This window comes from Homo sapiens, chromosome 5 (genome assembly GCF_000001405.40).
Source record: "Homo sapiens chromosome 5, GRCh38.p14 Primary Assembly".
In the NCBI taxonomy this organism is placed as follows: domain Eukaryota; kingdom Metazoa; phylum Chordata; class Mammalia; order Primates; family Hominidae; genus Homo; species Homo sapiens.
In genome coordinates this window covers 41,036,735-41,063,937 of record NC_000005.10, presented here as the reverse complement: position 1 = coordinate 41,063,937, position 27,203 = coordinate 41,036,735, and the positions used below count along the sequence as shown (strand labels likewise).

General features: G+C 38.8%; 1 protein-coding gene across 3 annotated transcripts in view; it reads left to right on the top strand.

The window, feature by feature from the left end:
* The window catches only part of MROH2B (maestro heat like repeat family member 2B), a 73,323-nt gene that overhangs the window by 7,405 nt on the left and 38,715 nt on the right, over positions 1 to 27,203 (top strand). For all 3 annotated transcript variants that reach the window (XM_011513953.2, NM_173489.5, XM_011513952.2), the window contains 16 exons: positions 2,214 to 2,368; positions 5,735 to 5,875; positions 6,578 to 6,670; positions 6,760 to 6,829; positions 8,083 to 8,196; positions 9,098 to 9,171; positions 11,351 to 11,473; positions 12,848 to 12,961; positions 14,502 to 14,658; positions 14,797 to 14,837; positions 15,473 to 15,614; positions 16,174 to 16,217; positions 18,085 to 18,192; positions 21,730 to 21,846; positions 24,383 to 24,490; positions 25,050 to 25,202. In XM_011513953.2, the coding sequence (XP_011512255.1) occupies positions 2,214 to 2,368; positions 5,735 to 5,875; positions 6,578 to 6,670; positions 6,760 to 6,829; positions 8,083 to 8,196; positions 9,098 to 9,171; positions 11,351 to 11,473; positions 12,848 to 12,961; positions 14,502 to 14,658; positions 14,797 to 14,837; positions 15,473 to 15,614; positions 16,174 to 16,217; positions 18,085 to 18,192; positions 21,730 to 21,846; positions 24,383 to 24,490; positions 25,050 to 25,202 (1,754 nt within the window). The remainder of the gene's footprint in view (positions 1 to 2,213; positions 2,369 to 5,734; positions 5,876 to 6,577; positions 6,671 to 6,759; positions 6,830 to 8,082; positions 8,197 to 9,097; positions 9,172 to 11,350; positions 11,474 to 12,847; positions 12,962 to 14,501; positions 14,659 to 14,796; positions 14,838 to 15,472; positions 15,615 to 16,173; positions 16,218 to 18,084; positions 18,193 to 21,729; positions 21,847 to 24,382; positions 24,491 to 25,049; positions 25,203 to 27,203) is intronic.

Here is a 27,203-nt window from a genome sequence, read left to right as displayed (position 1 = left end):
GCAAGCAAACTGTGGTCACAAACTCCTCTACCCCAAACTGAAATATGTCACAGAAATCAAGAGCCTACAGAGAAGAACGTGCCCTGGAATTCCTAGGAAGCAGTGTTTGCAGTGTACAGGGAAGTTTCTTGGATGAGACTGGAGACCTGGTCTCTTGTCTCTGCTCAGCCACTGAGCCACCAGGTGACCCTGCCCTTCTCTCAGTCCCAGTTTCAACTCTAAAAACATCAGAATAAGTGATTGCTACGTTCCCTTCCACTTCCAACATAACCTAACACTACTATTTTGTAATTTAAAAGCCCACGCTGTCAGGAATGTCTTCTTTACCTAGAAACAAAGGCTCTTCCATTCCATTTTTCCCATTTCTTCTTGTTCTGTCATCAAAGTAATATTTTTATCTGATATATATTGAGAACTTGCTATGTGCCTGGACACTGCCCTGGGTATTTTAAGATTACTATTTCATTTAACTCTCACAGCAACCACATGAGATGGGTAACATTTTTTCCACCATTTTACAAGTGAGAACATTGGACTTAGAAAGTTTCAAACAGCTTGCCTTAGGTCACACAGCCAGTACATGGCAGAGCCAAGACTGTCAACTATGACAGTCTGACTCAAGGACCTGTGCAGCTATACTACACTAACCCACTTTCAATACTTTTTACTATTCCTACTCATTATCATAGCTAACACTGTGTTCCTGCAAATAAACTTTGGAGCCTCTAACAGCATTTCTACCTTTAATATTAACAACCAAGAATGTAAAATTAAATAAAACTAGAAATCCTCATGAACATTACTAAGGGAATTCTCTGTGTTATAAAATTATCTAAGTGCCCTTTGATCTTAAATCACCTTTTTGCCTGACTGCCACTAAAGAAAAGGTATCAAATGTAATAGCTATCTATCCATCCAGCCATTCAGCCATCCAGCCATTCATCCATACCTAGTCATTTGATCAATCAGCAAATTAGCAGACATTGTGCTGGCTGCTTCACATACCATGAACCAGCAAGACATCATCCCTTACTTCAGGTTGCTTACAGGTCAGTTAGAAACATACACACATGTACACACATACACACACACAGCCACACACACATACACCAAGAAATAAACTATTATAAAGTATAGTAAGAGATTCTTAAAGAAATTATAAGGAGTTTGGAGAGACTGTGAATGAGCCAATAAATGGCCGGCTCTACAGCTATAACATGCTCAGGGTCCTTTCCAGGGTATTTTGTGAATGTGAGGAGTCCCTGAAGAATGGACTAATTAATTTTCTTTATCATCTAGCAAAATAAGTGGCACACAAGGGCTGAAGAAAATAATATTATTATTTTATGCATTTCATGCAAATATATATGGATTCGTGGCCCAAATGGTATTTTGGCAGTCCTAAGATTTCTTTTTAATTTTATTGAAGTAAAACATAGACACAGACACAGAAAATCACGCAAATCAGAAGTGTCCATGTTGATGAGTTATTTCAAAGTGAAGTTGCCCATGTGGCCACCACTTAGGTCAAGAAGTGGGAGATTGTCAGAGCCCAGAAGCCCCCTCATGTTACCTTCAAAGGGTAACCACAATCCTAACTTCAAACACCATTAGCTTTGCCTGTTTGTAAGATTCATCCATGTTGTTCTGTGGAGTTATCGCCCATTTTTATTTCTGTATTCTATTACATGTCTATAGAATGTAATAGAATTCTACCTATTAGCAGCTATTTATGCTATATTCTGTTTGGGGCTATTACAAAACAAAAAGCTAATATGAACGCATTCTTGTACAAACTTTTAGTGCTCATATCTACACACGTCTAATGGCTATATACATAAGATTGGAATAGTTGGGTCAAATGGAATGCATATTCAACTTTGCTAGATAGTGCCAAAGAGTTCTGCAAAGTGCTTGAACCAATTCGCCCTTCTACCAGCAGTGAGAATACCAGCTGCACCTTAGTCTTGTTAACACTTGGCATTGACTATCTTAAATTTTAGACATTCTGGATAGTAGTGGCTCATTATGCTTTTAATTTGCATTTCACTTTTGTGGCTGAGCACTTTCTATATGTGTATTTGATGCAGTCGTAAGATCATCTAAAAACCATTACATATTTACTAATCATCAGCACTCTCTTCTCAAATTATTTTATCGTCTGCCCCATCCTTATATTTTTCTCAGTCTGTGGTTGTGTGTTTTAAATGCAGCCCTTGAGAAATTCAGCAAAGCCATTTACAAATATGTCAACCACTGGAGAGATTTTCCCTACCCCAGACTGGATGCCAACCGACTGTCTGACAAGATCTTCATGCTGTTCTGGTATATAATGGAGAAGTGGGCCCCTTTGGCCTCACCCATGCAGGTGAGTGGGCCTCAGGATGCCTCAAGCTGGATGTCCCTATATGCTGGTTGAAATTTCTCTTCTCTTTGTGACATGATAATTAGGCTCAGTATTTTTGGAAGCCATTGGTTGTATTTTATGAGATTTATCAATTTTTTCTTTTTTCCCACCTATTTCAAATCCCTATTTATTTATTATTTCAGTTAATGTTTATTGAATCCCCATGACATGCCAGACACTATTCCAGATGCCGAGGTTGTAGCAGGAATTAAATAAACCAAAATCCCACACTCATGAAATTGACATTTCAGTATGTGGAAAGAACAATCAATAAGATAAAATGAGTAAAAATCCCAGAAAGTTAGATATTTCACATTTTATGTATTAAAACTCATATATGAGCTGAGTCACTAATTAGGAAAAAATAGCAGTCCACAGGTGCTTCTTGTGTCTATGAATATCATGATTAAATAAAATAACATCTAAAGAATATTCTTGGCTGCTTCAAAATACTGCAGTGCCTTGTCCTTGTAAAGAATAAATTACAAAGTGCATTCACATGTATCTTGCTTTAAAAGTATATTCCCTTTATCTTGCTTAATTGCTATAGTTTTTTTAAGCAGGCTAAATGGTATCCTATTTAGGTCTCTTCATTGCTTTATTATAAAAGGTTTAACACTTAGCAGCTTTCTCTAGTTTAGTTTCTTTTCAACACTTTAAACTATTAAAGCATTTATTTTTTAACATCCTGAGGTAGTTAAATCGTTAGCAACATGGAACTTTAAAAATATCCTGTAGGGAAGTTTTTTCTTCAAGACACCTGGAAAACAAATTCAATGCATCTGTTTAACGACTACTCTCCTTGCTCCCTGCAGGAAGGGCCAGGCAAGTGAACAGAAGGTACACAAAGTGACAAGGGTGCACAGAGAGGGAAGCACTTAACTGCCCTGGTGAGCTGCGACATTGGAATTGATCCTTGCAGCCCATGAAGCTGCTCACCACAGCGAAGGTGCATTCCCTACAGAGGGACTAAAACCTACTGAGGCAGAGGTTGAAAATGGGGAAGCATGAACACCTGAGTGAGTGTGATGGGAGATGGAGAAGGGAAGAGAGAAAAAAAGATATAAGGCAGAAAGAAATGAAACCAGAAAGATGGCCTTAGTCACATAATGAAAAGCCTTAGCTGCTACATACAAGTTTGGACTTTTTTTTAATAAACAAGAAACCCTTGAAAGGTTTTAAGCAAGGATTTGAGTACTGCAGTAGAAAAATCATTCTAATATCAACATTAACAATAGAGGGGTATGGGGTGGACTAAGATAAGACTACCTGCTAGGAGGCTATAGAAATATTCCAGCTCATAAGTGGTAAAGAGATCAATTAACATAGTGTTCGTGGAACTGATCAGAGGAGTCAGATGCTGAAGAATAGAATGACCAGGACTTGGCATCAGTTGGATGCTTATTAGGATGGAGGAACCTGGGATGGTTTCCTAGGTTTCTGACTCAGGTGATCTTGGGATCATCAATTTAAACGAGGAGGAATTACAAATGTGGGACAGTACAAAATGGGTTTGATGTAGACATTTTGATTTGAACACCTATGGTACAGTCAAGTGGAGATATTAGTAGGTTTGAGGATATTCAGGTTTGGAGTTAAAAAGGAAGAGCAAAAATTGGACTTATAGATTTGGGTATCATCATTGCATAAGTGACAACCAAATAAGTGGATTTAGATGGAGTTGTTTAAAGAGTTTATAGAGTGGGAAAGTGGCTAAAACAGAGTTCTGGAGGGCATCAATATTAAGGGGAAAGCAAGGGAGAAGAACTCATGATGGAGAATAGGGAATGTGCTAAGAGTGTAGGAGAGTCAAGTAGAATGAGGTCTTAGAAGCTTAGAAAGGAGAAGTTTTCAAGAAGCAAAGATGTAGTCCTGAGTGTTACAGCACTCAAGAAAAATCTTGACAAGTGTCCATTGCTTGGAAATGTGTGGTGGAAGAACCACCCAGCTAATACATAGTATTTAATGAAATAAATGATAGTTGCCATTAGCCACTAAGTTTTGAGATGATTTGTTGTAAAATGTAGCTGATACAAAAAATTTATCAAACATCAGATAGAAAAGGCAGAATATAGAACTCTATAAGAATGATGTCAATTTTTAAGAAATTAAAATTCATGGAAAACATAGGAAATAAGTCAAATAAAAAATATACTAAAATATACCAGTGTTTATCCATGGGTCCTATGTGTATTATGTTTTCTTCAACATAACATTTGTGATTTCTACATTTTTATAATCAGAATTTATCACATTTATATTTCATACTCTGGAAGTTGATGATTTTCCACACTGAATGGCAGCAAGATTCTAGTGGATTGAGAGGTGAATGGGAGGTGAGAGGTAGAGATAGCAAATAAAGACCATACCTTGGAAACGCTTTGCTCCAAGAGCAGGAAAGAGAAACAGAGTCAGGTGGGGGTAATAGTTAGGGTCAAAGTGAGGTGGAATCGGTGAAGATTCTTTTTTTTTTTTTTTTTTTTGAGATGGAGTCTCACTCTGTCACCCAGGCTGGAGTGCAGTGGCGCCATCTCCACTCACTGCAAGCTCCGCCTCCCAGGTTCAAGTGATTCTCCTGCTTCGGCCTCCCAAGTAGCTGGGATTACAGGCGCCCACCACCATGCCCAGCTAATTTTTGTATTTTTAGTAGAGACGGGGATTTCACCATGTTGGTCAGGCTGGTCTTCATCTCCTAACCTCAGGCGATCCGCCTGCCTCGGCCTCCCAAAGTGCTGAGATTACAGGCGTGAGCCATCCTGCCAGCTTGAAGGTTCTTTAAGATGAGGTAAGTTCTAGATTGCTTAATATACTAAAAGAAAGTGAGTATTAGAGAGAGGTTTAAAAAATAGAAAAGCTCTGTCTCAAAAAAATACAATAAAATAAAATAAAATCTAGTATTACAAAAATTAGCCAGGCATGCTGGTGGGCACCTGTAATCCCAGCTACTCAGGAGGCTGAGGCGGGAGAATTGCTTGAATCTGGGAGGCGGAGGTTGCAGTGAGCTGAGATCGTGCCACTGCACTCCAGCCTAGGCAACAAAGCGAGACTCTGTTTCAAAAAAATACAATAAAATAAAAAATAGGAGAGAAGGGCAAGTATTGAAATGAGTATCAGTATAAATACATATGTAAATACAAATATAGCTCTGTCCCATGCAATGATCTTAACCTGAACATTTTTTAAAGATTTTAAAGAATTTAAAGAATTATTTCTTGGCTGAAAGCAGTGAGGAAAGTTTTCAGGAGTACCTAAAGCTCCTGGTGTTCTGAAAACCTATGAAAAACATAAGGAAGTTTCAGAAACGGTATTTGTTTGCTGCCTGTACAGACTTTGAGCATCGTTAAGGCCCACGGGCCCACGGTGAGCTTGCTGCTGCATCGGGAAGACTTCCGTGGATACGCCCTGGGCCAGGTGCCCTGGCTCCTGAACCAGTATAAAGACAAAGAGATTGATTTCCATGTCACTCAGGTAAGAGCCATACCCTAAAGGAACTGAATCAGAGAACCCGCATGCAACCCTCCGGGAGGCTTTTAAGTCTCAAAAGACCCTAAGGAGCTTAAACTCCTGTTTGGGCAGCTGACTTTCAATATCTCTTGAGGAATATGAGGTAGGAAAAAGATTGTATCGCTGGATGATGGGAACTTCAGAAACGGATTAAGAACGTTCATTCTGGGCCTGGCTCAGTGGCTCACAACTGTAATTTCAGCACTTTGCGAGGCCGAGGCGGGTGGATCACTTGAGGTCAGGAGTTTGAGAGACCAGACTGGCCAATAGGATGAAACCCCGTCTCTACTAAAAATGCAAAAATTAGCCGGGCATGGTGGCGCATGCCCATAGCCCCAGCTACTCGGGAGGCTGAGGCAGGAGAATCGCTTGAACCCGAGAGGCGGAGGTTACAGTGAACCGAGATTGCGCCATTGCACTCCCGCCTGGGTGACAGAACAAGACTCCGTCTCAAAAAAAAAAAGGAGGGATATTCGTTCATTCATTCATTCCAAGCTGCTGAGGCACTGAACAGGGTGGAAGGGGCCAGAATCATTCAAGAAAACTTGTAACTGCAGGAAGATGAGAAGCTTGTTTTTCTCTCAAAACACAATTATTTGCCTTCCACATCCTGTGCAGCTGCTTCCCTGGCAGCCTCCAACTAACCTGTGGGAGTTTCCACTTTAGAGCCTAAAACAAATACTGACTGCAGCAGTTCTTTATGACATTGGCCTTCCAAGGAGCTTGAGAAGATCCATCTTTATCAATTTACTCCAGCAGGTAAGAAGACCATGCTGTCAACTCCAATTTTTAATTTCAACCGGTTTTCTGTGTTTAACATCTACCACCTGATTTCCACCCCCATTCAGATCTGCAGAGCTCCAGAGCCTCCAGTAAAGGAAAATGAAATGAAAGCTTCAAGCTGTTTTCTCATTCTAGGTAGGACCAGCATCCAGAAGGCTTTTAATAAAAATGTCCCCAAGTGATGATGATGACAATGGTAAAAGGAGGGCAAACTGTCACATTAACTTACTTTCACACACACAAACACACACACTGTTTCTTTAGCTCACAGTTTTCTGTGCCTGCCCCTCTCCCCACAAGTTCCCAGGAGGAGCAGGACGGGAAGAATGGCCAATGATGCCAGGGTTTCCACGACTGGGATAGGTCCAGGGAGATAAAATTTTCAGTTCTCAAACCAAGGAAGTCCTTGGAAAACTGGAGTGAGTTGACAATCCTAAAAATAGGAAATTTCTTTTTTTTTTTTTTTTTTGGTATTTGAGATTATTTGAGTCTGTGTCAAACCAAAGTCACCCTTTTCTCTTCCTGGTCATCTCTTAGTGTCTACACCTCTTTAACCATCAGTCACTCCGTCTCTCTCTCTCTGTCCTTCACTCTATCCTTTTTTATCTTGACCTTACATTATATCACCTGATTAGAAGGCCTGACATGGGATGCACGGGGGGCACCAAAATCCCAGGGTCAGAATACAAAACTATGCTCCCATACAGTCCCTGAGGAGGAGGGACAGCAGCAATCCAATACCTCCTGGACCTCTGCACTCCCCCAAATACTACATCACTTCTACCTCCTTGCATATCTTTCTGTCATGTGTATGCATACCTTTCTACTTCTCTCCTGACTGGCCCCTTTGTCTCTATACTTTCTTCTTCTCCCCGACCCCTGCCTAGCTAACTAATTCACCTTACCCCTGATGCTTTCTAGAATAAACCACTGTCCTCCAACCAGGCCTTTTTTCACCCCTCCTTGCTTCAACAACTGCAGCTCTCACAGCAGAGGAAGCATCACTGCCATCTCTTCCTCCATCTTCACATGGTGTTCTCACTGTGCCCCATGTCTCTTCTCCTTTTCCTGTAAGGACACCAGTCATATTAAATTCAGGCCCACTCTAATAACCTTCTTAACTTCATTATATCTGCAAAGACCCTCATTTTTAAATAAGGCCACATTCACAGATATGAACAGAAGTGGCCTAGGCACAGCAAGCTCTCTTATGAACAAAACTGCTCAATTAATTCTGTGATACTGAAGAAGCATGGACGTAATAAAATCAAATTACCAACTGAAGAGTGCCTTGGATAATCTTCATGGTGAATTTCCCTCCTCCCATTCACAAGTATTTTACCTAGGATGAAAATGAGTTACAGCTCTAGTGTTTCTTGAACCTGCAGCCCATTCCAATCCTGGAGAGCTGATGGAATTTTTTGATGAACAAGTAAGAAGTAATAATGAAGCCATTCGAGTGGGAATCTTGACTTTGTTAAGATTGGCTGTCAATGCTGATGGTAAGCAAGAGGGTTGAAGCCAACATGGTTTATTTCATGCCAAGAAGCAGACTGAAGCCTATGCACTCTCTAATCCTATCCTATGTCTTTTGGATGCTTATATAACATCACGTGCAAATGAAATTCTGTCTTCTTAATCTTCCACAATCTACAATTCCTTTCAACAGGCATCTTTAGTTACTTCTCTTCTTTCGTAACATTTATGGATGCACCCAGTTGAGAAGAATGAGTAGAATTTTTGAGAATTAAAGTTCGAATTTAGAAGCTCTTGTAGGTTGATTAAATGGTCCAATATCAAGGGGTGGGTGGGAGGGAGTGCACAATTCTCTAGAGATTGATACGTTTACAAAAAAGCAGAATTTAACGAATTGCCATATTTTATTCCAGAAAGTACATATTTTCATAACACTGAATGCATCTTACAATTGAATGAATCTTTAATTATAATTAGCCACTATTTTTTGGTGCAATATGAAATAATGGTGCATGATAAAATTGGTGATATCTTAGACTTGCTAAAATACAAAAATTCATTTTTGCATAGTATGGTATAGTTTTTTAACATTCAGTTAGCACTTTGATTTACTGAAGAATCAGCAGATGAATATGAAGCAGTCTCACAATATTTAGATCTGATCCACCAGGAATGATATATTGAAACCACTATGGAACCTAACATTTTAAACAAAATGAAACAAATGTAATAAGAAGCAAAGAAAGCATTGGACATCATTAAAGATTTGGAAACAAAGAGGATGGGAGGGCATTGAAAAACAAATAGGTTGTTAAAAACAAGAGATTTCACAATTATGTGCCATAATTCTAATAGCTTTTCATCAATCCTAGAACATACTGTACTTCTATTGAGTCAGGCCTCTCAATTTCTCCCTCTGTCTTTCAGAGCCCAGGTTGAGGGATCACATCATTTCAATAGAAAGAACAGTCAAAATCGTCATGGGTGATCTCAGTACAAAAGTAAGAGAATTAATAGAAACTCTTGTCGATGGTAGCTTTAAGAATGAATGAAATTATTTTGATTCTTTAAGGATCTACTTATGAGACTATTTTATAAAGAACTCTGTGGTCAATTCCATTTTTAAAAGAACTCCATCTTTTCCAAAGAGATAAACTTCATCAAGGTAGAGGCCTAAAGTACACACAGCTAAAGGACGTCTCAGTGAAAAGAAGAAGATTTTTGCTTATTTAAAATAATTGCAGGAAATCAGTGGATTAACACATGAGTAGAATAAGAGCAAAGAGACTGTATCTCACTATGCCAATGCACTTCAAATAGTTTAAAAATTACTTGTTAATTATAAAGATAATGTATCTTCATCCAGGAAATATTAATCCCTAAACCTTGGTCTTAGCATAGACATCCTACTTTCCAACCAGACTCTACCTAGAGCAAGTCATGCACATAGCGGATTGCTCAATATTCCTGATTATTTGATTAAAGTGTTCTAAGGTGCAGTGGCTCATGCCTGTAGTCCCTACACTTTGGGAGGCCGAGGTAGGTGAATCATTTGAGGTCAGGATTTCGAGACCAGCCTGGTCAACATGGTGAAACCCCGTCTCTACTAAAAATACAAAAATTAGCCAAGTGTGCTGGCTCACACCTGTAATCCCAGCTACTCATGAGGCTGAGGCACAAGAATCACTTGAGCCCGGGAGGTGGAGGTTGCAGTGAGCCCAGACTGCACCACTGCACTCCAGCCTGGGCAACAGAGTAAGACTCTCTCTTTAAAAAAAAAAAGGTGTTCTATGTTAGAAGTTATAGAACTTATACTGGGAAAGCAAGAAACATTATCAAATATTATATTTTTGTAAGAATACCACATTTTGTTTGGAATAAAATGCTAGACAGAAGCCAATTAAGAGGAATAAATTCTTTTAAGAAGCTTTGACTGCCAGTGACTATGTTTAAAATAGTAAAAGCTTTGCAATAAAAAGCAATAGAGTGATTATACAAAAAAACCTGGCCTAGTAACTGACAAAAGACAAAACAAGAATTACGAGAAGAGTTTAGGATAGCATAAAGAGCATAGATCTTTGAGGAAGGCCAACTCCCCAGGCAAAAATAGAGAAAAGGTGTACCTCTTCTCTAGGTAGACTACTGAGAGTCTTTATGCTAATTGTTTTGGCCACCATATAACTGCTTCCCTGTTCAAAATGGTTTTTTTCTTCCCGCTCTCTTTTCAAAGACCTGTTCACTAAGGGATTGGTTCTCATGTTTCTATCCTCCAGAGAAGCAACACAATAAACAAATTAAAACCAAATTATTATATATACTATAATGCAAGTTCATAAAACTTCACTCTAATTTCTAGGGCCAGATATATTTCAGAATTGACAATTTTTCAGCTTTTAGAAAAACATTACTCTGATAGAAACCCATAATGGAAATCCATGAATATTTCTGCAAGAAAATTAATGCATATCCACACAGCATAGAATAAGATTACAAACAGCTTTAAAACCGTTCAGTTTGGGTTTTGCCACCAAATGAGTTGGCACTAAATTTAAGAAACAAAAATCCAGTTTTCATAGTTGTTTGGACTCTGAAATTGTGAATAAACAGTTGTCTGTTATCTTTCATTGAGTATTTTAAAAGCAAAGCAGTGTTTTAGGCCAAAGTTACCCAACAATTCATAATCTATGGTGATAGACAATATGCCTTTGAGAGCCAAGGAGAAAGATTTTGGCTAAAGAGAGCATTTCTGGTGACTCTTTCATAACCTATCACTCACTTTCTTCTCCCTCTATTTATACAGGTTGAGCATCCCTAATCCAAAGGAAGTCTGAAATGCTTCAAAATCCAAAACTTTTTGAGCACCAACATGACACTCAAAGGTCATGCTCAAAGAAAATGCTCATTATAGCATTTCAGAATTTGGATTTTCAGATTAGGAATGCTCAACCAGTAAGTTTAATGCAAACATTTCAAAATCTGAAAAAAATCCAAAATTTGAACATTTCTGATCCCAAGCATTTTGGATAAGGATTATTCAATCTGTATTAACACTATTCAATTTATGTTCCTTTTTCAAAAATGTTCCCACTTAATTATCCTTAAGATTATAGAATAAAATAAGGTAAATTTCCCTTCTGCAAAACATAGTAAAATGTTGCTATTGCATTGTTCTTACCCTAGGTAAGAAATTCTGTTCTTCTCCTCATCCAAACCATGTGTGAAAAGTCCTATATTGAAGCTCGGGAAGGATGGCCATTGATTGATTATGTCTTCTCCCAGTTTGCAACGTTGAACAGGAATCTGGTATGCAGAGGCTACAGTTTTGAGTGATGCACTATAAAAAGTACAGTTCGCTCAACTATGTTTCTTTTTAAAAAATGATTAGGATCCTTAATCTGTCACAGGAGTAGAGTAAAAAATAAATAAATAAATTTTAAAAAAATTAAAAATAACTGGAATTCAATTAAATAACTGATTTTGAAGTCATATTTTAATCTTATCACTTTTATTGATAATTTTTACAGCCTCTAGTTTTCTCAGTTCTTTTTTTTTTTTTTTCTAAAATCACCTCTAACTTATAATAAACACAAGATAGGTTAAATCAGTTTTCCCTAAGTTAACCCAGCCACCAAAAGCTTGGATTGGGGTTGTCTGGAGAGGGACACAGAGACTGGATTGCTTCCGAGAAAGCAATAGAGATATCAATTCTTGCTGCAACGGTGTCTTAGTTCATTCAGGCTGCTATAGCAAAATACCATGGAACAGTGAAGTAAGTTCTATGAAGTGCATTTCTAAAATAGCACACTTCTGAAATCATAAATAAGTTTATTAGGGTTCTAACCCTTTGCTGTACACAAACAGAAATGTATCTGTTATATGAATGAGAAAAAGCTGTATGCTGATGGAGCATGCTTTTAAAATCCTTTAAAAACACCATATAGAAAGGAAAATAGCATAAAATGATGTTTTATAAACAAAAAATATTTATTTCTCACAGTTCAAGATGCGGGGAAGTCCAAGATTGTCTAATGAGTGCCTGCTTCCTAACAGATGGTGCTTTCTCACTGTGTCCTTACCTAGTGGAAGGGACTAGCTAGCTCTCCAGGGTCTCCTTCATGAGGGCATGAATTCCAAACACTAGGGACTTTCTCTTATGACCTAATCACCTTCCAAAGACCACACCTACTAATACCGTCACCTTGGGCGTTCAGATTTCAACATATGAATTTTGGGAAAACACAAACACTCAGATCACACAATTGAGGTCAGCTTTCTTTTGATAAATAGGCTGAAAAATACAAGCTTATGATCTCTGTGATTTTAGCAAATTAGTCACAACTGAAATAACAGTTCACTCCACAAAGAAGCATGCTTTGAAAAATTTGCCCTGAAGAAAATGGCAAAGGCCTGAGAAAGAGAGGGGATATCTGCAGTTGAAGGAGCCTCACAATTTCTGTTTCTCTCTTTTAGCAAGCGTTGTGTTTTCCAACTAATTCCTCCAAGGGGCCCTTTCAAACAGGGATTAGATGTTGAAGGCCAAGATATCTAGGTTCCATGAGCCCCTTAAGTTGAGTGACTACATCCTCTACTCCAGAGTCTAAGAACACACCCAAGGAAAGTCAGAGGGGACCAACCTTAGGAGTCATTAACAAGTCACCTGTTTGATCTTTCTTAAAGGAGAAACCAGTGAAAACTAACTTTCATGAGAATGAAAAGGAAGAGGAATCTGTCCGAGAAACAAGCCTTGAGGTCTTAAAAACCCTGGACCCACTGGTCATTGGAATGCCTCAGGTAAGTGGTCTTTTGTCACCACTTACAGTTACTTTGATCACCTTCTTAAAGCCCAGCCTGTGTAAGAATAAAGACATGAGTTTGTTCTCCATTTGTCATCAGCTTCCTGATGCTCTGACTAGAGGAAGTATATTGCAACGCTGTGTCCAACACATAGTGGTTCCTCAAAAACAGATGTTGAATTAATTAATATAAAGTATCTTACATCTGGATAGTTCATGACAATTTATATATATAATATTAATATACTATTTCTCTTCTTCCTCTAATGCATACAGTAATATTAAGTAGTGGTTTTAAAGCAACCAATGCCAAACTTACCCTATTCCACCTGGGAATGTGTTAAAAGCAGCCATTCTCAGGCCTCACTGGAGACCTGATCATTTGAAACTCAAGGGGAAGAGCCTTGGAATCTGTAGTGCCCGGAAGTACATAGCACAGCCAGAAGACAACCAACTGACCACACCTTTTAAGTGGTAGATCAGAGGCTTCATCTAGCTTCATCCTGAGTTAGCTGGGATATTTACTTAAAATGCAGATTTCCAGGTCACACACCAGACCTACTGAATCAGCAAAACTGGACATAGAGACCAAAAGTCTACAATCAACTAAGTTCCAATATTTCTGATACATACTAAAGTTTAAGACCTTCTGATATAGAAGTGAATGATGAAAAAAATAATCTAGGGTCCAACCCTAAAGGGCCTGGAATGCCAAACTTTTACCTTATGGTTGATAAACCAATGAAAATTTTAAGCAAGAGCTAAACATTTAAAACGATAATTGTAGGGAATCAGTAGATTCACACATGAGTAGACTAAGAGCAAAGAGACTATATAGGAGATCAGATGCAACTTGTAGCAATTACAGCAATGTCATTGCAATAGAAATGAGACATGAAAGGGCAGGAGACATCTTACAATGAAAAAAGGACTGAGTCTGGTGATTAAATATAGATGACAAAGAAGAGAGAAGAGTACAAGTTGACACCAAGGTTTCCATTAGGACAAGAGAGTTTTCTAAGGGACATAAAACATACTAAAGAAACCACAATGTTTCAGACTTCCAGAGCAGGCAGGTCAGAGCCTGAAGCACAGAGGACAGCAGCAGCCCATTCACTATCCTCTCCCAAGCTTCTCAACTGGGGAAGTCACACTCCAATCCTGGAGTTTTGGGAAGTACTTGGGGGATTTTTGGTTGTCACATTGACAAGAGGAATACTGGCACTTGGTAAGTGGGGCTCAGGGATGCTAGCATTCCCCTAGTGTCTCGAGCAGTCCCTCACAACAAAGAATTGTCCTGCCCCACATTCCAGCAACGTCCCCATGGAGAAATACTGACCAACACTCACTACAGCTAACACCTGAAAATCAATGTGCTGTGCAGAGGCTTCCTTTAATGATCTCATCTTGACTTGGCCCAAAAAGCAAAATAATAACAGGAGAAAAGCTTCTAAATCAGAGAAAAACATGCAGTGAGGACCAGGGAGAAATAATGGAAAAGAATAAGCAATCCTTGCATCATGCCCTGTTTTCCACAGGTGCTATGGCCAAGGATCCTGACTTTTGTGGTACCTGCAGAATACACAGAAGCTCTGGAGCCCCTGTTTAGTATCATCAGAATTCTGATTATGGCAGAGGAGAAGAAGCAGCACAGTGCCAAGGAGTCGACAGCACTTGTCGTCTCTACAGGAGCTGGTCTGTACATTCATAAACACAGAAAAGCTTTTCTATTATGAGGGATCCATTTCCAGGAAGGCTACAGTGCTTTGACCTTAAACCCAACCCCAATCTCTAACCCCTGCAGTGATGATGAAAATTGCTTTCTCTTTCTAGTGAAACTTCCTTCACCACAGCAGCTACTGGCCAGACTTCTGGTGAGTGAGTTACTAAGAACCAAAGTAGAACAAATTTAAGCTGATAAGGATAGTTCAGTTCCAAATAAGTGCTAATATAAATTACATAGATACTCCAAACAAAAAGAAACACTAAAAAGGCATAATAAATTTTCTGCTATACTAGTGACATTCATGAATATTTATTATTGACATGATTACCTTCCCACTCTGAAATACTTGTTGAACTTTACTTATAATTTTAAAGTAAGCATATATTGAATCTCATTCATAAGTACCATTAAACAAATTCCACATCTGTTATTTGGATTTCCCATCTCTCTCTTTGGCCCCATATGGATGATTTACTCAAGCACTATTTCCTCATGCCTTTATTTAATTAATTGATATATCTAAGTGTTAATTCTTTCCACTTATTTTTGGTTGGTGCTTTCCATGTATTTTTTTCACCTTTATCCTCAGGGAAAAAGAAATGGGAGAAGGGCTATCTAAGTATTAGCTTCATTCTAGAATAAATAAGAATAGACTGTGATGATTTGTTAAAAGATTATCCAATGCAGAAATCAAAGGAATTGGAACAATGGTAAAAAGGGAAAAATAAGTGGGGCTTTTAAACGCCCCTGAAATTGATGAGCTCCTTCTCTTCTATCCTTCAGGTAATATCTATGCCTGCCAGTTTAGGGGAGTTACGTGGGGCTGGTGCAATAGGGCTTTTGAAGATACTGCCTGAGATAATTCACCCAAAATTGGTAGACCTATGGAAAACACGTTTACCTGAGCTTCTGCAGCCTCTGGAAGGTACAAGGGATTGGGGCCAGGTCTTTACCCAGGGGGCAAGAACATAAAGAAATAATGCACCGTTTCTCTGTGTAAAGCCATTAATGCTCATTTTAGGCAATAAAAATGATGAACTTGATATGCAAGGTAGATAGCTATTTTTTTCTTCTTAACTCCTTATGTTCTGTTTCTTGCCAATATTCATACTACAAGAAGACCTAGTAGGTAACATTCTTAGCAGGAATTTTTACTTTTGCTCTCGTCTTTTTCTTGTATCTAGAGAAATTCTATTTTAGCATTGTTCTAAAAAGTTATTAATCATGTTAGAATATCAAAATATGGTCATTTCAGTAGTCATCAAAATTAGCAAAAAGCCTAGATTTTTATGATAGATTGAAGACCTTCTCTCTACCTAGCACTTTAAAGTTGCCAGTGTAGTAAATTTGATCTCAAATAAGCATTATGAGCAAAAAGAAAGCTTAAAATAGAACTCCAGTATCACTGGAGGCCTGGAGGGGAGAATTTGAGTCTTGGGGTGGTTTTGTTTTTTTGCGATTATTACATCAATTTTTGTTTCTAGGAAAGAACATCAGTACCGTTCTATGGGAAACCATGCTGCTTCAGGTAAGGCTGGCTTCTAGAATAATTTTTAATAATGGCATGATGAAATCAGCTGAAGTTACCCATCCTAAATTAAAGGAACTAGATTCCTGAGGATAATAAACAACCTTTTCCTTTCTTTGGAAAAGAATTAGAATGTTAGAAGTGATCACTCAAGGATAATGTTCTTTAAATAGCCATAATTTGAACTACAATCTTAAATCCACTTGATTCAGTTTCAGACAGTTTTGAAGATTTTACTTAGCAATATTTTTCCTGTGTCTTTCTTAAATCTTCTCTAATTTTCAAGTTTTTACTTCTTGCAACTTTGTTCTTTTACCAGCCACATAATGAAAAGCAGATGAATATAATTTCCACTTCCATGCCCCTAAACACAACTGTATTTCCTCTTCTATTTGTGGCTTAATGTCTTTTTCCTAATATCCAAAAAACAAAGGGCCACATTTTATCCATTTCCAAAAACGAATTTCCTCTCTCACCCATAAACTTCTTGGAGCTTTACAACTAAACAGTGCCACAAGTGATACCAAATCCCAGAAATAGTTAATTGCAGACAGGCAGTGGACATTGGCTTTACAAAGATGTGACTTCAGAAACTTGCAGGAGGGACGAAGCCCACAGACAGGGAGCTTTTAATATAGAAGGTTTTCTATATTAAAAGGCATCTACCTAGGAATTACCTATGGCTTCTTAGAAGAGTCAATTTTCAATGATCTCTCCACAGTACTCCCTCTGCCTCCTATCTCCCTTCCAGATTCAGAATCTCTGGGGGTGGTACCTGAGAACTGGCATGTTTTAAAGGTTTCCATCAGTGATTCTTATCCAGTATAAGATTTGAAAGTGACTGCTCTACTCTCCTGGTCCTCAATTCTAGGATCCACCTCTCCTCCTATATTTATGGTTCTTTTATGTTCCCTTCCCTCTCCCAAAATTCCTACCAGATTTCCTTCTGCTACCATTTTAAAATAACTGTCTTTACTAGGGAGAAAAATATTTTTTTTTCTAGTAGGAAGTCTTGACAACAGTTCCTTCTCCTCTTCCAATTTTGAATATTTTCTGGTCTTTTTTTTCCAAAACTGTCTGCACATGTCTTCTTCTCTTAAATTTCCGAAACTGTTTAATTTCTTTAAAGAACCCATGAATGAGCTCCTGTTAAGAACAGGCATACACATCCTTTCATTGGTTTTGTTTGGCATTGTGTCCTTTTCTAAGCTTAAAGTTGAAAAAATATAGGAGAGATAATATATATATTGCAATGTGTTTGTCCAAAAGAAAAAAAAAACACTTTTCTATGTATTGTTCAAAGAAGAAGGACATGGGTTCAAAGGACTGATTGTGACCCTGTCTCATAGGTATCAGTAAAACCAGGAATCTTTAGTTACTAGAGTTGAAGTTTGCAGAAATGTACCTGTACATCAAAATGTGCCTGTTCTTTAAGACATTTAATTCTTGATTCCAAAAATCTCCATCGTGTTTGGGGTTTTTTTTTTTTAGTATGTAATCAGTTAAGTTAATATCAACAAATGGAGTTTTTCCAAATCTACCGAAACTAGAAAAATGCCAACTTTAAGTTTCAGATTGGATTAGTTTATATTTTAGGTCTTTTAGCAATATTTATTTAAAGGAAGAAAAGGAAGTTGATTTTCCACATTCTGTGTATCTTATTCTCAGTGCAAATTCAGAACATATCAGAAAATGTTTTTTAGAATAAACTAAGAGGAAAGTTTCGAAGGAATTAGTTATTTTATGGAAAAGGGAATAATACTATTTAAAATATATTTAAACTTTTAAAAGATAAAATAACCAAAAATATGCCAAGAAAGCACATGAAACGGTCATATTCACATCTAACTTCCACTTCCTACAACAGTTGCTCAAAGAATCCTTATGGAAGATCAGTGATGTGGCCTGGACCATTCAGCTGACTCAGGATTTCAAACAGCAAATGGGCAGTTACAGCAATAACTCCACTGAGAAGGTTGGTTTTTCAGCTGAGGGGAAACCTTAGCTTTTACCTATGATCCAAAATGGCTGCTCTAGCTCCATCTTGTCTGTATCACAATCAAAGGGAGGGAGGAACATTTAAAAAAAAAAAGAGTTCCCTCTTTTTAAGGCCACTAGCTGAAAGTTGAATATGACCTTCTCTGCACCTCACTTTTAGCCCAAATTTACTCATATGGCCACAGGTATCTGCGAGGAAGACTGAGAGGTAGATAAGATAGATATGTGCCTAACTAATATTCAGAGGTTCTTTCTACAGGAGGAAGAAGAATAGATACTGGAAGGCTAACAGCAGTGCTTAATGTCAGCTTCTGTCCTGGCTTCCATTATGCCAGTCTTGTGAGGCTGGCAATCAAAAAGAAATCTACTACAATTTAACAAAAGCTTATAGCTAAAAGAGTACTCAAAAGCCAGTTCTAGGAAAGGGCGCCCAAAGAAATAGGTTTTTATTTCCAGTGACAAAGAGGTATGGCCATGGATAACAATGATTAAAGGACCCACAGCCATGTGTCAGTTAACAGGACAAATCAGAGCAATAAAGTATTTTTCAAACATTATTCCTTTCCATGTTTTTAAAGTCAGTTCTTCTATCCCTCTGTCTCTAAATGGCCCCTACCTAAGCTTCCACCTTGTAGCCATCCATTCCAAATGGGGTTTGAAGCCAGTTTCCCCTTATTACTACTAGTGGGGCCTCAGGTAAATTATTTTATCTCTCTGGATTCTCACCATACTCATCAGTAAAATAGAAACAATACCCACCTCTGAGGGTTGTAGTATTCTGAGGGTTCAATGAGATAAAGTATATAAAGTCCCTGGTGAAGTGCTTGACATAGGGCATGTGCTCCATATAAAAGTAGCTTTGATCATGGTCTTTATTATGCTAATACCATTCATAAGTTTATTTTCCTGGAAAAATATTTAAGTTTCTCAGTTCCAGTACTCAGTATTTCTTTCCACAAAGTAATCATTATCAATCTTCAACTCACATATGTAATTTTCAAAATTCTCCTCATTGATCGACTCTCTAATTTGGTGCAGAGTACTGATTCTCCAAATGGGTTTACCAAACCTGCCAACACACATTAGGAAAATTTGGCGAGTAATGCTCCATCTTCTTATAACACAAACTAGCTCTGTGCACCTCATATCATGCTATTTATTCAACAGCTTCCAGACCCACAAGATTACTCTAGAATAATGGTGGTACCCGTAGGCAGAGCAATTTCAGTAATTAGCTGCCTAGATGTTCTCAAGCCTTACACCGAACAAGAGTAAAGTAAGAATGTACTAATTCACTTTTGCTGCATCACAAACTACCCCTAGTGGTTTAAAATAACAGCCACCTATTTAGGTCACAATTTTATACTTTGACACTTTGGGCTGGGCTCAGGTGGGTAGTCATCTAATCTCAACTAGGCTCACAAGGTATACTTGAGGTTGGCTGGTACATGATGCATTTTTTTTTTTTTTTTTGAGATGGAGTCTTGCTCTGTCACCCAGGCTGGAGTGCGGTGGCACGATCTCGGACCACTGCAACCTCTGCCTCCCAGGTTCAAGTGATTCTCCTGCCTCAGCCTCCCGAGTAGCTGGGACTACAGGCACGTGCCACCACACCCGGCTAATTTTTTTTTTTTTTTTTGTATTTTTAGTAGAGACGGGGTTTCACCATGTTAGCCAGGATGGTCTCGATCTCCTGACCTCATGATCCACCCACCTCAGCCTGCCAAAGTGCTAGGATTACAGGCATGAGCCACCGCAACCTGCCTATGATGCATCTTAACTAGCACAGCTGATTTCTGTTGTTCTTGTTCTCTCATACTCTAGCAAGCTAGCCCAAGCTAACTCTCAGGGTGATAGCAACAAAGCATGCAAGGACTCTTGAGGTATAGGCTCAGAACTGACCCATTATCATTTTTGCCACATTCTATTGGCCAAAGCAAGTCAAAAAGCCAGCCCAGATTCACATAAATGGGAAAATAGACTCCTTTCTTGATTGAAGGAGCTGCAACACCCCATAGTAAGGAGACATGGACAGAAATAGGATGGAAAAGTTGCTATTTTTGCACTCTACCACATTTTCTCCCAATGCTAGGCTTCTAATTTCTTGGATTCCATGTGAAGCCTTAAAGCAGGGATGTACTATGCACTGGACCAAAATCCACAGAGAAGCAACAGGTCAGCAGGACTGGGAGGCACTAAGACTAACATTTTACACCTAAGTCAAACTTTCCCTTCATGACCAATTTTTTTCTGCAGCACAAGACTTTCCCAGATTCTTTCCAGTCTTTCCCCCAAGGTGGGCTTAAATAGACTTTAGCAGCTTTGTCCCCAATTCGTATTTACTTCTGTATTGTACACAGTTTTCTCCACTATAATTTCCTTATTATAGGGACTTTGGCCTGAATAAGTGAAAGTGGGGTGATGCAACCTGGTCAGATTCTCACTCTGATTGAGGCCACTGTCACTCTGGGAGTTGAGATAACAGCAACTGCTCCACCTCTTTTTAACTTTATGCCCCCCTCTCATTTCAAGCCAGATTGATATGCACATTACTCCTGAATGTACTAATTTAACTTGGTCTGTGTCTATTAGAATTTCCTTTCCTCCTGCTCCACAGATTTTCCTATTGTCAGTAATGACCACTCATTAGGAAAAGTCCTGCCAGCTGTGCAGAGTCCTTGACCTGGACCACCAATTAGCCAGTTTTGTCTCTTGTGTGTGACAATATGGGGATTCTAAATAAATGCCAATCTGTTACTATATAGCTAGGAATGATTTGAACCTTATAAAACAAATTAAAGCCATCTTCAAAATAATGGGTTGGGCATGGTGGCTCATACCTGAAATCCCAGCACTTCAGGAGGCTGAAGCAGGCAGATCCCTTGAGGCCAGGAGTCTGAGATCAGCCTCGCCAACATGGTGAAACCCTGTCTCCACTAAAAATACAAAAATTAACCAGGCATGGTGGCACACACCTGTAATCCCAGCTACTCAGGAGGCTGAGGCATGAAAATCTCTTGAACCCAGGAGGCAGAGGTTGCAGTGAGCCAAGATCGCACCACTGCACTCCAGCCTGGGCAAACAGGGTGAGACCCCATCTTAAAAAAACAAAACAAAACAAAAAACCCTCTTTTTATTGAGCATGTTCATTGAGCATTTGTTGAGCACATATTAACAATCAGGAACTATACAGTGGAAATAATGAATAAGACCCTCTGCTACAATGAACCCAAATCCTAAGCATGGAGACAAGCAAGAAAATAAAAAATTACAATGGGGGGTGAAGTATATTTTAGTGGCAGGACACAAGGTAGAGAGGAATATAGGAGGGCACAGATGGAGGGCAGAGCCTGGAGGAAGGAAACACTCTCAAGAAGAGAGAATACTTGAGGTACATGGTTATTAAGTCACCCCAATTTCTTTCCTTCAGATGATTATTTTAACTCTTTCCACTTTTCATCAGAGTCTTGCTTTCCAACCCTTAAAATCCTGTTGCTTATCTTTTGTTTTCCAGAAATTCCTTTGGAAAGCCTTGGGAACCACCTTAGCATGCTGCCAAGATTCAGACTTTGTAAACTCACAGATTAAGGAGTTTCTGACTGCTCCCAACCAACTGGGGGATCAAAGACAGGTGGGACCCCTTGCTCTCAATTTCCTCTTATGATGATAACAACACAACTAATCCTATCCACAAAACCTCTGACAGCTTTTATAATAATGTTCTACTTAATCATAATTATCAATTAATACACTCAGAATAGCCTAACAGAATTTTTCGGAAAAGTTAGGCTTTTCTATTTAAAATCAATACTTCATTTTTAACCAAGTTTATGAAAATATTGAAAAATGAATTTCAATAATTCTTACCTAACCAGACCTTGGCTTGACTTAGAGCATGATTGTGAGCATCAAAATGATTGAATTTACAAGCTGAAATTACTTATAGACTAATCTAGACTAATCTAGAGAGAATGTAAAGATAACCTAAAGTGCTTCTGCAAAGCTCTACTTACTTCCTACCATAGCCTGTGGCTATAGAGTATATATAAATGTGGAGGAAGGAGAAGATGTGTATTTTGTTGTTGTTGTTGTTGTTGTTGAGACAGAGTGTCGCTCTGTCACCCGGGGTGGAGTGCAGTGACACGATCTTGGTTCACTGCAAACTCTGCCTCCCAGGTTCAAGTGATTCTCCTGCCTCATTCTCCCGAGTAGCTGGGATTACAGGTGTCTGCTACCATGCCCGGCTAATTTTATATTTTTAGTAGATAGGGTTTCGCCATGTTGGCCAGGCTGGTCTCGAACTCCTGACCTCAGGTGATCCACCCACCTCAGCCTTCCAAAGCGCTGGGATTACAGGTGTGAGCCACCGCACCCCGCTGAAGATGTGTATTTTTAAAACAAACAAATAAACCAACAAAAAATAGTTCCCAAGCTGATAAAGACCACCAGTATAAAAAAAGTATAGTGTGTTATATTTTCTCCTCAGAAATTATAAGATATTTAGGGTTCTTTCTCACACATTAAATGGCCAGAAACCACTAGACTTTACTGAACTTTTGAAACTGCTTTTATATTACTATTATTTCCTTTTTCTTGTCAGATATTATCATTTATTGCTGTTGGCACCATCTCTAATATCATTTTTTCCATCTTATCTCTGGTATAGGTTAGGAAACAAAGTAAGTTGATTTTAAATATAAGCATATAAGACTCTCATTCAAGGTCTGAGGGTTTCACAAACTTTAAAAAATAAATCATGGCCGGGCACAGTGGTTCACAACTGTAATCCCAGCACTTTGGGAGGCTGAGGCAGGCAGATCACGAGGTCAGGAGTTCGAGACCAGTCTGGCTAACATAGTGAAACCCCATCTCTACTGAAAATACAAAAAATTAGTCGGGTGTGGTGATGTACACCTGTAATCCCAGCTACTCGGGAGGCTGAGGCAAGAGAATCGCGTGAACCCAGGAGGGGAGGTTGCAGTGAGCCGAGATCGCACCATTGCACTCCAGCCTGGTTGACAGTGTGAGACTCCATCTCAAAAAATAAAAAAAATAAAAATTGTGACGTCCAATTGAGCTTCTCAAATACCTTTTTTACTTAACTTTAAGTCCTTGAATATGTCTTACATACTCAAGTCGCTTAATAAATGACCTCTGGATGAATAAAGTGTTAACACGTGACTTTCATAACCCACTGAGCCTACTTGGTTTTCAATCTCCTAAGCATAATGCTTTCAATCATGTGAGGCCAGAGTTCTGATTCTAGCTTCATACTAGAACGATTATTATCTAGACTCTACAAGAATGGTCTAGTCTACGAGTTTTCATGATGGCTCTGGCAGGGTTATGCCACTGAATGACATATAACAGGTTTCAGGAACAAATTGCCATGAAGGAACTCTGGTGAAATCAGCTTTGGACAAGAGAGGTGGGGACAGAGGGAATATATAACCTCAGAGTGTGAAACAAGAACTGCCAACTTTCAGAAATTTAACCTCTTAAGATACAGTAAAGTTTCAGGAACAGAATGATTCTTTAAAAGCATCAGTCAATTCAAGCTGAAAAAAAACCTCCATTAGCTTCCCAGCAATCATAGATTACAAGTCCAAAATCTTGGGGACGGCCTAAAAGGCCCTACTGTAATGAACCCGCCACCTCCTGTCTGACTCATTTTGCACTGCTCTCCTCCCTGACTGCTCCCTCAGCCCTCTCAGTGGACTTCGGGAGCTTTGCACTTACCTTCTCTCTGATTGAAACTCTCCTTTCCAGATAGTCTAATGGCTCACTCCCTCACTCATTTCAAGGCTCTGCTCATTGTCACCTTGTCCGTGAGACCATCTCTGACTATCCTATTTTAATAATGCAAACTTCCCCCAATCCTCACTACCTACTCCTGCTTTACTTATCTTCATAGCACTCATCACCATCTGGCACACTGTATATTTACCTGTTTACTGAATTGATGTGTTTACTTATTTCACTTCCCTGTTGCTTCCCTGTCAGTTCTCCTGGTTGTATACCTTACAAAGATGGGGACTTTGGTATGTTCTGCAAACTACTGTACCCCCAGCACCTAAAGGATACCTGGCACATAATAGGTGCTCAGTAAATATTTGTTGAATAAATAAATGGTTAAACTCAAAATGTCATACCTTTTCTGATTTTAGGGAATAACATCTATTTTAGGATACTGTGCCGAGAACCATTTGGATATTGTTTTAAAAGTTCTTAAAACATTCCAAAATCAGGAAAAGTTTTTCATGAATCGATGTAAGGTAAGAAGAATCATCTCCTTCAAATTCTCAGTATTGCAAGGCCAGACAACCCTGATTTCTTCAGTGAATATCCTTTCTTATATTATACTTACTCCTGTCCCCAGGTTCTTATTCCAGGTCAGAACTGTCCAAGCCCAGTCTTTATAGGATGATTAGCTATATGAAAAGTCTACTTTATTTTCTCTGACCCTAAAGCTGATCTGGAAGATCCTAAATGCGCTCTGCATGTGCCTAAGTTTGTCCCTCTACCAACCACTCGGCCCTCATGAATAGCTCCTCTCATGCATACTCTGCTTTCCCTGAAGGAAAGGGGCCTGATAAGTATATATAATAAACAAAAGCTTCTCCCAGTTACCTCTCTGAAGGCCTGATCATCCCACAGGACCATCCTGGCTGTTTACATTTAAACAGGCGAGAGTATATTCATTTTAGACTTATTCGAATCATCCCAGTCCAGTTTCTTATCCCCTATAGTGGTCCACAGGATTAGGAAAAAAACATGAGAGAAAATAGAACTCCTTCAGTCACATTTTTCATGTCTCCCTTTCCTGGTCTTCAGAGCCTTTTTTCTGGGAAAAAGAGCCTGACCAAGACAGATGTCATGGTCATCTATGGAGCAGTGGCCCTCCATGCTCCCAAGAAGCAACTTCTCTCCAGACTTAATCAAGATATCATATCCCAAGTCCTGTCTCTTCATGGCCAGTGCTCTCAGGTAATGCCCGTTGCATGGCTGCCTCCATTTCTAGGCTGGGGTTCCTAAAACTTGCAGGGGCTCAGTCCCTGGGAAGCTTTTTTCCTTCCCAGACTTGGGTATGTTTTTATCAGCCACGTGAAAACAGACTAATACAGTAAATGTCTCGTGGATTACTATGCAGCCATAAAAAAGAATAAAACGTGTTTTGCAGCAACATGGATGGCTGCATCCTTCAGGCTCAAAGGACACAGGCCAAAAGAAAGATAGGTAGGATCTGGTATGTTTGGGAAATGAGAACATATGGGAACAGAAAAATTTATTTTAAAATAGCATCAGGTAATCTATTTTCTTTCCTAAAGCCCTGAGCGGTTCATGTCCTACCACTGCTGTGATGCAGTGATTGTCCCAGGTCAATCATATCCGTAGTGATCTCACCCTTGTTTGAACTTAAAACAGTTACTCCTGTACTATTTTAGGGCACCTGGCTCATTATTTCCCTGTAATAGTATCAGAAGTGTTAGCCCATGGTAGTTCTTTAACTTTTTATATGATAAGACTTACAAACTACCTTGAACAGTGTCTCACAAATAGTAAGTGTCATATACATATTTTAAGTGAATAAAATATGTCATTCATCAAGCTATTCAGTTCACCTGTGTTGCACTGTTTCCCCCTCCACATTCATCCCAGCCAACCTGACCCTCCTTGATGCTTCTCAAACATACCAAGAATGTTCTACCTTTGGAGCCACCAAACTGAGTTGAAATTTATCTGATCATTCTGTCTTCCATAGCATTTTGTTTGTATCTTTAATAAATTGCTTTATACAATTGTGAATTCACCCATTTTGCTGACAAATACCAGGCTGGCCACCTAAGAATCACACAAGAATCAAGTGTAAAATGTAGCTTCCTAGAGTTGTTTTCTAGGGAAGTTAGTTCAGTAGGTCTTGGGAAAACTCTGGAAATCTGTATGCTTAAAACTTTCAAGTGATTATTTATAGATCAATGTGGGAGGCTTTCATTGATTACGTGCACATCTGCTTCTCCTGTTAGATTGTCAGCACCTTGACGTTAGGGACTCCTTTAGCTTCTCGTCTGTGTCTCCACAAACCACATGTTGATGCATAAGTGCTCTTCACATTTATTCTTATGTACATGTGATAAGAATAGACTCATAAGGACTCATGAAATTGTAGTCATCAGTACATGTTAGTGGAAGGGTATAGGGTACTCATCCTCACACCTTAGTTGCATAAGAATTGCCTGGAGAGCCTGTCAAAAATAGAGATGCCTAATGAATCACAGCCTTCAGAGTTGAATCACTGAATTTGCATTTTCAACATGCTCCTCAAGAGTTGATTCTGATGCCCCCAAAATCTGAGAAGCAGTGATGAGAATAGAAAACATAATAAAATTTGTTTTATGTTACATTAATTTATGGTCAATCATTAGAGACCAGCCTGAACATAGTGAGACTTCATCTCTACAAGAAACTATTTTTTTTAAGCGTGTAATCTCAGCACTTCATGAGGCCAAAGTTGGAGGACCACTTGAGGCCAGGGGTTTGAAACCAGCCTGGGCAAAGTATCAAGACCTCATCTATAAAAATAAATAAATAAAACAATTGCCCAGGTGGGGTGGTACATACCATTAGTCCCAGTGCACTCTAGCCTGGTTGACAGAGCAAGACCTTGTCTCTAAAAGTAGATAAATAAAAGAGGAAAGAAAATAAGAATGATTAAAATAAAGATTACTATACACTTTCAGGGTACAGTTAGTTCTGCTATAACAAAACATATACACAAGATAATATAGGTAAAAACATAAAGAGGAAATGAGGTTGAGTCATAACACTCAAAAAACTCCATCAGTGATACACTCTTTTTAGTTTAGAAGCCCCTCCTGGACAGATTATTTCTTTTCATAGATCTGAACAAAATTATTTCCCATTGAATTTTTTTTCAACTTTTAGATACAGGAGGTACACGTGCAGGTTTGTTGCATGGGTGTATTGCAC